The sequence below is a fragment of the Homo sapiens genome, chromosome 10 (genome assembly GCF_000001405.40).
Source record: "Homo sapiens chromosome 10, GRCh38.p14 Primary Assembly".
NCBI classification, from domain to species: Eukaryota; Metazoa; Chordata; class Mammalia; order Primates; family Hominidae; genus Homo; species Homo sapiens.
The window spans coordinates 73846407-73859367 of record NC_000010.11 but is presented as its reverse complement, the minus strand read 5'-3'; the positions used below and the strand labels follow the sequence as shown (position 1 = coordinate 73859367).

General features: G+C 51.2%; 1 protein-coding gene across 78 annotated transcripts in view, besides 2 other annotated features; it reads left to right on the top strand.

Annotated features, from left to right (window-relative positions):
- The window catches only part of CAMK2G (calcium/calmodulin dependent protein kinase II gamma), a 62055-nt gene that overhangs the window by 15188 nt on the left and 33906 nt on the right, over nucleotides 1–12961 (top strand). For 68 of the 78 annotated variants that reach the window (NR_160044.1, NR_160047.1, NR_160045.1 and 65 more), the window contains 7 exons: nucleotides 6122–6176; nucleotides 7049–7114; nucleotides 10035–10107; nucleotides 10253–10355; nucleotides 10759–10842; nucleotides 11286–11380; nucleotides 12021–12143. Coding sequence is in view for 56 of the 78 variants with exons in the window: in XM_047425803.1 (XP_047281759.1) it covers nucleotides 6122–6176; nucleotides 7049–7114; nucleotides 10035–10107; nucleotides 10253–10355; nucleotides 10759–10842; nucleotides 11286–11380; nucleotides 12021–12143 (599 nt within the window). In the remaining 22 variants the exon portion in view is untranslated. Of the gene's footprint in view, nucleotides 1–6121; nucleotides 6177–7048; nucleotides 7115–10034; nucleotides 10108–10252; nucleotides 10356–10758; nucleotides 10843–11285; nucleotides 11381–11576; nucleotides 12144–12961 lie in introns of all 78 variants that reach the window. The other 10 variants (NR_160042.1, NM_001367539.1, XM_047425805.1 and 7 more) reach the window with 4 other exon arrangements.
- Nucleotides 307–807: an enhancer, noted in NCBI's record as "H3K27ac hESC enhancer chr10:75618319-75618819 (GRCh37/hg19 assembly coordinates)". NCBI's record gives its function as "activates a minimal SCP1, AML or CMV promoter by ChIP-STARR-seq in primed H9 embryonic stem cells {active_cell/tissue: H9 hESC(primed)}" and the evidence as "EXISTENCE:reporter gene assay evidence [ECO:0000049][PMID:30033119]".
- Nucleotides 808–1308: an enhancer, noted in NCBI's record as "H3K27ac hESC enhancer chr10:75617818-75618318 (GRCh37/hg19 assembly coordinates)". NCBI's record gives its function as "activates a minimal SCP1, AML or CMV promoter by ChIP-STARR-seq in primed H9 embryonic stem cells {active_cell/tissue: H9 hESC(primed)}" and the evidence as "EXISTENCE:reporter gene assay evidence [ECO:0000049][PMID:30033119]".

The window sequence follows — 12961 nt, the reverse complement described above, 5'->3', positions numbered from 1 at the left end:
ATTCCCCCGCCTTTCCAGTCAGAAGGCTTGGCTCTGCTGAGCCCCCACCTTGCATGGCCAGAAGGAGCTGTGAGGAGCGGTGGCTGCCCCTGCAGCCCGCTGGCCACTGTCCTTGTCACCCACTATGAGCTCACATTTGCATTACCCACCTGGGCCCCTGTAGGCCTTGCAAGCTTGTGACCTCTAACCTAGAAGTTCCAGAACAGGAAGAAAAAACATGTGCGTGACTAAAGCCACCCATAAGCACAGAAGCATTTTGATGTTCCAGACCCGGGTCTCAATATCTGAGGAGGGTAACTTCCTTTCCTTTATGCTCCTTGTGACCAACTGGTACAGCAGTGATAATTTGTCCTCATGTAGGCAGGAGAACAGCAGCTAGGGGTCAGTGATGCAGGAAGCAGAACCATGTCCACATCACCCGCGATGCGGGCGGGTTGACCATGGGCGGGTTGACCACGGATGGGTTGGCCACGGACGGGTCAGGGTATAATGAAGACAATTGAGAAATGAGCAGGAAGGACAAAAATAGAATTCTAGGTGAAAAAAGCCCTAGGTGTCTTTTTATTTATTTCTAGAATTAAATACATACTTTTTTACCCCATAGACTTCACTCTGTTTGGTAGCCCTTTACTTTTACCATCTGCCCTCGGCTCAGAATGGAGGCAGGCGGAGGGACCATATATCCTGGCCGTCTGCTCAGAGGCCAGGTGGGGCACAGTCACTCTTTTGGCCTCTGATTTCCTAGAACTGTGCTTCCATTTCATGACTGCTCCCAGGTCCTAAGGAGGTTGGTCCGAGGACCGATTCTGGGGTTGAGGGTGGGCAGAGGGAAGGGGGAGTCAAGACTGTGTCCTGGGAGCTCCAGCATCCGGTGGGAACCAGGGCTGTTGGAGATGTGGCGGAGCTGCAGGTCCAGGCGGCTGTGGTTGCCATGGATCTGGACCTGGCTTGTGGCAGGAGAGGAGGCAATTTTGTGCCCCTAATTCACTATTCCTCTTCTCTCTCCACTGCGCTGTCCTTCAGAACTGTGACCCTTTTGGCTCTGGCCTCTTGAACTCCATCCCAAAGGGAAACAAACGGGCCAGCCCAAGAACAGTGCACAGTCGAGGAAGCTAGAGCAAAGAGCATGTGGTCAGCCCTGCCTGTGGTCAGACTCGGAGGCACTGAATTCAGATGGAGCATTTGGTGCTAGGGGCCAGTCATGCCCAGTTTCCCCTTAATAGCTAGATATTCTGTCCCAGGAGTTAAAAGCCTGTTGGAAGAGTGAACCCTGATATAAACTCTGGACTTTGGGTAATGATGATGAGTCAATGTGGGTTCATAGACGGTAACAAATCCACCACTCTAGTGGGAGATGTTGATGGTGGAGGAGACTGTGCATGTGGGGGACGTGGGGTATTTGGGAATGTTCTCGGGTATTTGGGAACACCCTGTACTTTCCGCTCAATTTTGGTGTGAACCTAAAACTGCTCTGAAAATAAAGTTTATTAATTAAAAACAAACAAACAAACAACAAAATGCCTGTTTGGGTGTAAGGCACACTGCCGAACTCCAAACAGCGCTGGGAGTGTGGCCAGTGGTGGGGAGTTGAGAGGAGGAGACGCTGGTGTGAGGTCTGAGGTCTGAATGAAGTCCGTTCTACCTGTGATCTGCCTGCTCCCTGCTCTCAAGTCCTCTAATGAATAGACTCTGTCTTCCTTCGTGCTGAGCTGCCCCAGCAGTTTCGATCATAGTCTAGCATTGTGGTTTAGAGCAGCACTTCTCAAACTTTTATGTGCTTATGACTCACGCAGGGATCATGTTAAAATTCAGATTCTGATTCAGGGGGTCTGGGGTAGGACCTGAGTCTCCAGCTGATGCTCATGCTACTGGTCCGCATGCCTGTCAATACTTGGAGAAGCCAAGTTTTGCGGCTTCGGAGTCGCATCCAGATTTGGGGTTTGAATCTGGGATTTGCTAATTAGTAACTGTGACCTCTGGCAAGTTATTTAACTCCTCTATGCCTGCCTCTGTTTTGTTATCTGGGTCCCTTCGTGGAGTTGTTATGAAAGGGTTCAGCCAGGAAAGGGGGCTAGGAGGGAGATGATGAAAATGGAGATTCCAGCCCCTAGAAGTGATCTCTTCAAGACCCCCAGCCTCGACTCAGTTCACAAGTTATTCAAGCCTGACCATTTACCCTTGAGCCCAGTACCCATTCAGCTAACAGTAAGTGTAGCAAAGAAACGGTTGCAAATAAAAAGAAACATTGAATCATGACTGAGCAGTTCCTACATCCCTGCCCCCATGGTGGGGGTGGGGGGAGCCCTGCCACAGTAAGCTCTTGGGGGGCAGCTCAGTCCCCCACAAGCCCCCATGGCAACAGGACCTCCTTCCCACTGTGTTATTGCTGCAGATATTTTTAACAGCAACACTTTTTCAGTGCTTTTTGGAGAAAGATTTGTTAGTTAAAATGTGGCATATTGTTGGGTGGTTTTTAAAGAATTGGAAATAGCCACAACATTTGGGTTGTGGCTATCTCAGTCCTTGAAGACATGAAATATCAAGTAAAGGTTTGTAGGTGTTTTGGCCTGTTCTGTCTTCCACGGTTTTTAAAGAACAGCAATTAGGTTTGTTGCTGAAATGCAGTAAATGCTTTATACTCCTTTCCCCAGATCTTCCTGTCTATGGACATGGCCTGGCCCTTGTTGGCCTTCATGCCCTGTCTTTACTCTGGAATGGGCTGGGTGTCAGATTATTTTATTCCACGCATCCATAGTCCCTCTGCTCCTGCCTCACAGCATGACACAGTTGTGCTTAGTTAACGCATTTGTGTAATTGCTGGTTTAAAGCCTGTCTTCCCTCTTCGCCTGGCAGCTCCAGGTGGCAGGGCCGGCTCCTCTTCTTCACAGCCACATCCATGGCATGTACAGCCTCGCCTGCTCCGGGGTAGCTGCCCAGTGGACATTGTCGAGCCAGTCAGAATGGCCACAGGTAGTGGGGACAGATTGGAGCTCCTTTGCCTAAGAATTTGAGAAGGTGACTCCCAAGCAACTCTGCAATATCAGGAATCTTGATGTTGGTTTGTCTTGGCTTCAAGTCCCGGTTCTGCCACTTAGTGTGATTTTGGGCAGGTTTCTTATGGAGCCTCAGTTTCCTCTCCTGTCAGATGGGGTTATTTATATGTAAGTAGCTACCCTGCAGAGCTGGTGTGAGGGTTCAATACAGTAATGCACGTGGAGCCCATGGAACGATGCCGGCACACGGACAGCTCAACTAAGTGTTAGTTGTTAGATTTAGATTGTTATTATCAGAATCTGATGGGGTGCGGTGGCTCACAGCTGTGGTCCCAGCCTCTCAGGAGGCTGAGACAGGAGATGGCTCAAGACCAGGATCTCCAGCCCAGCCTGGGCAACATAGTGAGACCCTGTCTCTTAAAAAAAAAAAGAAATAATGAATCTGCTGTTGCTAAATAGGCACTTAGAATGGCACAGTCATTTCTCCTCTTGTCTTCAGTGTCCTGTTAATTTCTTTACAAATTAAAAAAATGTCGATAGCAGTCTTATTCAGATACAGCTTCCTCCATCCCTCCTTGTCTTGGCAGGTGCCTTGCTCTGGGGCACACATCAAAGCTGTTCTCTCTGCTGGGTGGCCTAGAAGGATTAGTCTTCCTTTGCTGCTCCTTTCTTCTAATTCCCTTCCCCGGCTTCCTCCCACCTGGGCTCTGTGTGTGGCCTTCCTGGAGAAGGGCAGACGCCAATGACTCCATGTCTAGGCAGAGGCCTGGGTGCCTGCACTTCTTGCCCTGTTCTTGGCCTTGCTGTGCTGGGCGGGGGCAGGGTGGTGTGGGGCATGGGGTGGTGTTGGGCATGGGGTGGGGTTCTGGCTGAGGCAGGGCTCAGTGCCAGGCCCAGGCAGAGCTGAGTGGCTCCACTTCTCTGAGATGGTTGTCAGCATCATACCTGCTGCTGTCCCGTTAATTCCCCATGCTGCTGCTGTTAGTCACCTCCCTAATGGAGCTGGTCTGTAGCTTCTGGGACAGCTGATTTCCAGGGGATTATTTGTATTACACACTTTAATGCTTTTTAATAGCAAATTTTTAATTAAATGGAAAGTCCTTTTGGAAGCGAGGGAGCAGCAGCTGCAGCAAGACTCAGCGTGAGGCACCGACTTAGACCAGAGGTGCGCAAGTGAGTGGGGCGGAGGCAATGGCAGGACTTCGAGAGGACTTGATTGAGTGTATATGGAGTGTGCCCAGGCTAATTTTTATGGGAGGAAGGCAGGGGCCTGGCGCTGGCTCCTTCCTCCTGTCCTAAAAGCCCCCTCTGTCATCTGCAGGCCTAGGGAAGCATCTTCTTTGCCCAGGAGAGAATGTATATTGGATATATACATTATATCCAATAATGGGAGGGATATTGGAAGTATCACCTGCCTTTGATCCCGTTCCCAGAAATACTGAGATTGGGATGGGATTTTTGGGGTTGAGTCACTAGATTAGATCAAATAGTGTAGGTAATGGGATGCGGAAACAGTCTTGAGGCCCTGGCTCCGGCCCTGGCAGGCTTCGGAGTCCTCAGTCATCAAGGGAGGAGAACAAGGGGGCTATAGTGGTGGTTCAGTGCCTCGGGACTGTGCCGGCTGGGTTGTATACTTTGCTTTCTGAATGATCTTGCTTCGTGGGGAGGGGACATAGGGAAGCACCTCAGCCCTGAGGAAACGTGTGACACTGGAAATGGAAGCAGCCAGGGCCCACCCAGGAAGAGACATGGCCATTTCTTTGTCTCCTAGCACTGAACTGGTTAGTTTGGTGTCAGGCCATTCCTGAAGTGCTCCATGAGGTGCACCTGTAACTGCCAAGGCTTGGAGCAAAGGTCAAACCGAGGGAGGCCTTTGGAACAGAAGTTCCCCATCAAGAGAGTTCACGTGAGGGGAGGGACAGGACAGTCAGCCAAAGCGGAGTCGTTTCTGCATTAGAATGATGCTCAGGGGTTGGCATTTAACCCAGAGGTGGCTTTGTGGGCAGAAACTTGAAGAGGAGACCTCAGAAGACTTCAGGTTGGTTTTTTACCCAAGAGCTTTGGAGGCGGGGAGCAGGGAGGGATTCCGCCTGCCAGCTTTTTCTCGCAGCTGGTGCATCGCCCGAGTCTTCTTCCAGTGGCACCCTCCCGGACCTGTCTGCGATGCTGCTTTAGGGACATTTGTAAGTGGTCTTTCTTTTGGATGCCAGGGCTTTGTTGCCTGAATATGGGGGCTGCCCCACATTTCTTAAGGGAAGCAGTGGTGTAGACCACAGTCTTTGGAGTCAGGTAGCACTGGATTCACATCTTGACCCACCACTTAGAAGCTCTTTGGCCTTTGTTAAGAGACTTTGTGTCCCTGAGCCTCTGGTGCCCTCATCTGTAGAATGGGAATAACATTCATCTCAGGTGGTCGAAAGGAATAATAAACTCCTCAAAGGCAGGCACTCTGTCTGTTCCTCCTGAATCCCGCTGCCTAGCGTGGGGTCCAGCACATAGTAGGTGCTTGATAAATGCTTGCAGAATCAGTAATGTATGCAAGAGCCTAGCACAAGGCCTGGCATAGTAAGCACTTAATAAGCTGTTATTGTTGTCATTGCCTGAATGTGTGCGTGGCCTTCCAGGCTCACCATCCATTATCCTGCACCACGTGCCTTCCTGCTGAGCTCTGCCTTTCCACCTTCTTCCCCACCCCTTAGTTCTGCTCCCATTTACTGCTCTGGAAGAGCTCTCTGGCTTTCCCATCTGGTCATTGTTGTCCCCTGCCGTCAACATTGCTAGGTGCTGCTCACGCTGCATCTCACCATCGTGCATCATATCCCAGGACCACCTTCTCGGAGACCAGCCCTCTGGGAAGGTTCCGGCTTTTCTCCATCTTGACTTCTTAGCCATGAAGCTTTTCTCTCTTGCCTGAGTCTGAGGTGGCAACCAGAGCGCCAGGCTCTGGCTCCCAGGCTGCATAGCCTTGCACTGGGGGGCACTGGGCACGTCGCCACTTCCCCCCACTGCTCCTTCTGGAGAGCCCTGTGAGCCCGACAGGATGGGGCAGGGGTGGGGCTGCTGAGGAGAAGCCTAGGATTTCCAAGTTTTCTCTCTGTTAATCTCTGTCCCCATCTCCTCTCTTGCAGTGCGCCTCCATGACAGTATTTCTGAAGAAGGGTTTCACTACCTCGTGTTTGACCTGTAAGTGCCACTTTCTGAGGGTGTGGGGGCCTTTCCCTCTAGCTGACTCAAAATGAAGGCTCAGGAAGAGGCCTAAACAGGCTCTCCAGCCTCCGCCCAGGGCCCCCTCCTTTGTCCGAGGGAAAGGATTTGACTGGGGCAGATTGCTGCCCCCACCAAGGGGGTCTCCATGTTCCCCCAGCGTCCCCCCAGGGCTCTGAACCCCAGGACAGCATTCCTCTCGCACTTCTGTTCAGCAGCACGCCTTGCACAGATGCCTTTGTCTTGTTTCTCAGTGTGCTGTCCTTAGTGAAGAAATAAAAGACAGCTCTTTGCATGACCTTAAAAATCCTGAGAAATCAGAGGTAGCTTTCATTAGTCGGAAACCAGGCTCCATTGGATTGGGTCTCTCCTCCACGTTGGTTGTGGTTTAATGTCTTAAAAGTGGCTCTTACCTCCTGGACACTCCTCTCCAGGATTCTCAGGGTTGGGTCTCTGTGTCATTGGTCTCATTACTCTTCAACTTCAGTAGTAGCTCTGTCCTTCCTGGGCAGCGATATTTTAGTGTTTATGTTGGTCTCAAAGCTGTGACTTTTGGGGTAGGTTGACTGTTTTCTCTTAGATCCCTGTATCTTCATCTCTGCCTGACTATTAGTGAATCTGTGCATTTTGGAAAAAGAAATGTCCGGAAGGAAGGGACGGCCCATGATACCTCAAGGAGAATCCGGGTGTCACTGAAGGATCGAGTGTGTTCTGAGCTCTCAGATGAAATGCATGGGGAGTTGGGATTTCTCTGAAAGCCATTCTACAGGGTGACCCTGTTTCTTCTTGGACATTGGGGTTGGACAAAGGACCCTTTCTGCCTCTGACCCTCTTCTTCCCGTTGGTTGCAGTGTTACCGGCGGGGAGCTGTTTGAAGACATTGTGGCCAGAGAGTACTACAGTGAAGCAGATGCCAGGTAGGATGAGGGCCCGAGAGTTCAAATGTAGCTCTGGAGTTTAGGACTGAAGGAAGTCTTGGCCACCTTCGGGGTCCAGCATTGTACCTGTTTGAATAGTCTTTGGGGAAGATCAGAATAGCTCTTGTCTGGAGAAAGATTCTGTTGAGCTGGGCTAGGGCTTGCATACTGTGGGTGATATTAGAAGTTAAAAATTCAGCACTTCCTAACCAGGCGCAGTGGCTCATGCCTGTAATCCCAGCACTTTGGGAGGCTGAGGCAGTTGGATCACCTGAGGTCAGAAGTTGGAGCCCAGCCTGGCCAACATAGTGAAACCCTGTCTCTACTAAAAATACAAAAAAATTAGCCGGGTGTGGTGGTGTGTGCCTGTAATCCCAGCTACTTAGGCGGCTGAGGCAGGAGAATCACTTAAACCTGTAAGCGAAGGTTGCAGTGAGCCAAGATCATGCCACTGCACTCCAGCCTGCGTAACAGAGCGAGACTATGTCCCCCTCCCCCCCCCCACAAAAAAAATCACTTCCAAATGAATGTTTTACAAAGCTTTTCCAAGTCTCCTTTACCCTGTGACCCCAGAAATACTTTTTTTTTGCACTACCATGTACTCGCCACCATGCCCAATGTCCCCCTCTGCCCTTTTCTTTCCTTTGACAAATTCTGGTGTGCTCAAGCCACTGTGCTGAGGCTCTGGCATGATCCAGAGGTGCAGAAGACATGGTTTCTGTCCTGAGGGAGTGGAGAGTTCTGGGCTGATAATCCAACCATAGAGCCCCGGGAGCTTTCAGCCTCTGTCACCTTGTCCCTAGACCACCATGACCAGCCTTGCCGTGGGGCTCCTCCAACTTGAGGACCGTTCCCCGGCCACATGCCTCAGCCTCTGCCCTCCCTGGAATCCCTGGTGCCTCCCTCACCCACGCTCTCAGGCGCCTGTTCAGCCTGCCTTTCCCGCCTTGGCTCTTCCCCCAGCCTTGCTTTTCTCGAGGGTGATGTCCCTACAACCTGGTTTTGATCATCCTGCCTGCAGCTTATCTGGCTTATGTGGCAGCTCTGGCTGCTTCTGGAGAGTGGGGGAGTGCAGCTTCCTCACGAATTTCTCAACCTTGAGAGGCCAATGTTTGCTGATCAACTTCAGATGCTTCAGCCTCGGGAAGAATTCTCAAGTGGGGAGATGAATTCCAGTGCCAGCAGGGGAGGACGAGGCTCTGGGACGGAGGAGGCAGTGATGGCTCAGGGAGCCTGCGGGGAGGAGGGAGAGCTATAGGGAGGGGGCCCTGAGGGGGGGTGACTGTACCAGTGGGCTTGGCCTGGCTCTGCTGGGACACTTCGCACTTTTGCCATTTTTGGCCAGAAGGCGCTCCCTGCTAGCCCGGCTCTGTTCTAATTATACATCTCTGTGGAGACTCGCCTCTATAGCTCAGTCTTAAAGTTTCTGTGGCCCACTCTTGGGCTGTGTCCTATGGGGAGGCCCGAGTTTCAGCCCCCAGGGACCCAGTACGACCCCTTGGTTCTTGTGGCATCCCCAGCATCAGATTTTAGGAATAGTAAGTCCAGGCCACCCAGCCCCATACACTGGGATGCTCTGCAGATGTGCTTAATATACCAGATAGTGCCTGATGACGGGGGTCTATATTCTAGGCCAAGTTCCTCAGCCTTGGTGCTACTAACGTTTTAGGCCAGGTACTTCCTTGTTGTGAGGCCTCTCCTGTGCATTGTGGCAGACATTTAGAAGCATCCTTGGCCTCTGCCCACCAAATGCTGGGAGCACCCCTCCTCCAGTTGTGACAACCAGAAATTTCTCTAGGCATTGCCAAATGTCCCCTGCGGTGGGGGGGGGCGGGCGGCAAATTCATTCCCAGTTGAAAACCACTGCTCTAGACTGCCCCCGCTCCCTGTCAGGAGTTTGATGACAGGGATGGCAGGATGGTTTGCTATGTGGACAGTCTGATTTACGTGTGTGACTGTGGCTGGGCGCAGTGGCTCACGCCTGTAATCCCAACACTGAGAGGCCAAGGTGGGTGGATCACTTGAGCTCAGGAGTTCAAGACCAGCCTGGGCAACATGGTGAGACCTTGTCTCCACAAAAAAATACAAAAATTAGCTGGGCACGGTGGCTCATGCTTGTGGTCCCAGCTACTGGGGAGGCTGAAGTGGGAGGATTGCTTGAGCCCAGGAGGTCAAGGCTGCGGTGAGCTGTGTTCACGACATTGCACTCTAACCCAGGCAACAGAGTGAGACCCTGTCTCAAAAATAAAATAATAAAATAACTTTGGGTTTTTTTCTCTACGCAAAATCATCAGAAGTGCTCCTTAAATGCCCTGTTTGGAAGCTCTTAAGTACATTGTTTCTTAAAGGTATCTTTGTACTTGTTTTAGCTGCCTTACTGGATGCCAGACCTCAGGGCAGCTATTGGGTCTTGTCCATCTTCATTATCCTAGGCACTCAATAAACATTTAGGGAAATGAATGAGTGCACCCACCGCCAAAGTAGCTTAGGTTGTTTAGTTGGACTCTCCTTCCTAAGTTGCCAGCACAAGCTTCTTCTCCAAGAACAAAGTTACTGTATGGAGAAAGAGAAAGAAGGAAGGGATTGGATGCTCTCTTCTTCCTCAGGATTCTGGGCTGTCTCCTGATCTCTTGGAAATGAGTTGGTTGTGTTAGACCTTTCCAGTCAAAAGGGGGTGAGAGGAACCCGTTCTAGCGGTGATCCTAGAAAAACCATTGCATCTGCCTGGGCCTCGGTTTCCTCTTTCTTTAAATAGGTTGAACAAGATGATGTGCAGAGTCTAAGGTTCCAGTGGCCGTTAAGTGATTCTCTGTGAATCCGTGGCCCCTTGTCACATGCCTTAGTCTGCAGCATGTGGTTGTGGATGTGGATGAGGTGGTTTAACCCTGCGCTAACATTTCTTTTCCTTCTGCTTTTTTAGCCACTGTATACATCAGATTCTGGAGAGTGTTAACCACATCCACCAGCATGACATCGTCCACAGGGACCTGAAGGTACTACCCAGGCTCCCCTCCGTGCCTCTGCTCATGAAGTGTTGGCGCCACCTGGTGCCAGATAGTGGTACTGCGTAGGCCCAAACTAGGCTTCCTCTGGGCTGCAGGGTGGGTGCTCACAAGGTTCTCTGTGTTTCTTCTGCAGCCTGAGAACCTGCTGCTGGCGAGTAAATGCAAGGGTGCCGCCGTCAAGCTGGCTGATTTTGGCCTAGCCATCGAAGTACAGGGAGAGCAGCAGGCTTGGTTTGGTAAGGGTGATCCTGTCTTCCCGGAATGCAGCCCCCGCCCTTCCTCCTCTTCCTGATCTGCCTTCCTCTATTAGAACTAGAAGCCAGACCCTTAATGGTCCTGGCCTCCGAGATCTCTCTTGGCCGTACGCGACTCAGTACAGTAAGTCTAGCTGTTGTCAGCACTGCTTTCTTGCTGCCTGTGGGAAGGAGCTGGAGTTCCTGGTAGGCATACGGCTTTGCCGTCTGGTTCAGATTCCAGGCGCTACAAGAAGCCCAGCCTGTCAGCTCTTGCTGCCCATGTGCTGAGAGTTTATGTAGCAAAAGCAGCAGGAATAAGATGGGACTTGGGGGAAATGGCTGGTGTGGATTTAACGAGAGAGAAAGTGGGTTCAGTATGCCTCTGCCCTCTCTTTTGCTACAGGTTTTGCTGGCACCCCAGGTTACTTGTCCCCTGAGGTCTTGAGGAAAGATCCCTATGGAAAACCTGTGGATATCTGGGCCTGCGGTAAGCCCATTCCACGCTCTCAGCTTTTCGCTGTTAAGGGCCCTCAACTTCCGATGATGGCAAGAAAGAGGCATCGCTATTCCTTGCAGGTCACACACGTGCCTGGTGTATGTGAAATTATGGTGTTTGCCCCTGGGATGGCTGTTCCCATCACACCCTCCTCCCTGCGTACTTCTGGGATGACATTGTATCCTTCTTGGAGAGGGATTTGCCCACGCCTTAGAGGATGGGTTGTGCCTAAAGAAATCCCTGGTGTGACTTGGTGACGTGAAGTGTGAGGCATAGCAGGAGGGGCTGGTAGCATAGCATTATCGGCTGGCATCCACTTCTGACTCTGGTATGGCCCCTGCCTTTCTAGGTGGCTCTGAGCCCTGCATGGTTTTTCTTGGTTCCTCAGGGAAGTAGGCGACTGACCCCCATGACCTGTGTGTTCTGTCTCGTAGGGGTCATCCTGTATATCCTCCTGGTGGGCTATCCTCCCTTCTGGGATGAGGATCAGCACAAGCTGTATCAGCAGATCAAGGCTGGAGCCTATGATGTAAGGACCAGAGAGCCGGGCAGCCAGGCCAGGAAGGGCAGATGTCCTTGCTCCTCGGGCTCTGTCCAAGGGAGCAGGCTTGTTTAGTGTGTCACGTGATACGGGGGTGTCAGGGGACTTTGAGGACCCAGGAATGGGCATCCAGGGCCCAATTCTTGCCACTCTATGTCCCAGGGAGCAACTTTCTTTTGCACAGCCTTCTTCATAACTAAAATTGAGGAGTCCACTGAAGTCCTTTGATCTTTACTTGCAAAGAATGGAGCGGCCTCATTGGTGTGCTGTGTAACACAGGGACAAAAGGCCTGGAGACTCCCTCCACTGCAGTGGCACCTTGGACACATTGCTGAGCCTCTGTTCCCTCCTAAGTATAGAGCTGGGCTTAAACCAGAGAATGTTGGAGTCCCCTTCCCGCTCTAATCTGATGTTCTGGCATTCTAAACATGACTGTTCTGTCTGTCTTTCCAAGTCTTTAAGTTGACACAGGTTCTGGAATAGCCGCAGGGCTTCTCCAACTCTGCCAGTCACAGCTTTAGGTACCACAGAGTATCCCAATTACAGGAGTTGAGTTGAAGACAGAACCAGTGTTGCAGGGTATGAAGCTCACCAATACCACATTCTTCTCCCTATTCCTGCTCCTTAGTTCCCATCACCAGAATGGGACACGGTAACTCCTGAAGCCAAGAACTTGATCAACCAGATGCTGACCATAAACCCAGCAAAGCGCATCACGGCTGACCAGGCTCTCAAGCACCCGTGGGTCTGTGTAAGTGTCTTTGCTAGTGGCCAAGGAGCTCAGGGGTGTCAGCCTTCTGTGTGCCCTCGGCACCACCCCCTCCTTCTTACCAGCAGAGATTCATTCTGGGCCCCAAGCAATAACTGAGCAGGCGGGCAGAGGACTGTTGAGGGCCAGGGTCAATAAATGTCACCAGGGAGACTCGGGAGGCTGATGGGGCTGGTGGGCCACTGCTCCTCTCTCCCCCACTCATGGCTGTCAGGCTGGGATTGGTTCTGTTCTTGGATGAGGGCTCAGGTTGACCCTTGTGGACTCCAGGTAGCCGGTGATAGAAAGCAGCTGGCAAAACCCAAAGTGAATTCCCAAGCTGGGGTTCATACTCAGATCTCAACTCCACTGGAGTGGTGACCAAGATCCAACAAATCAACAGAAGGGGTTTCTGAGTCATTAAAAGCATAAAAGCTGAGGCATAAAGCTTCTGCGCTAAAGTCCTAGGAGAGTCCTCTAGGCTATCAGTGTGGGTTGACGTACTCTGTTTTTATACACAATTCTTTCAAGCTGAAATATCAACTTTCAGACAAAGAAGAGGATTTGGTAGAGTTAGGCATCTTGACAACCACGAGGCATTATTTATCTGTCCATTCTGTGTTTATTAAATACCTCTTTGGTGCTGGTTACCGTCTGGGTGCTGGAGATACAAAGATGAATGAGGCATGGTCCCTGCCCCAAAAGATCATCTAGGGAGACAGGCACTCAAACAGGCAGTCATGTTACAATGTGACAAGTAGGTACAAGAATCTAATGAGAGTACAGGAGCTCCTACTGTTCCTGGTGGGTGGTGGGGTTAC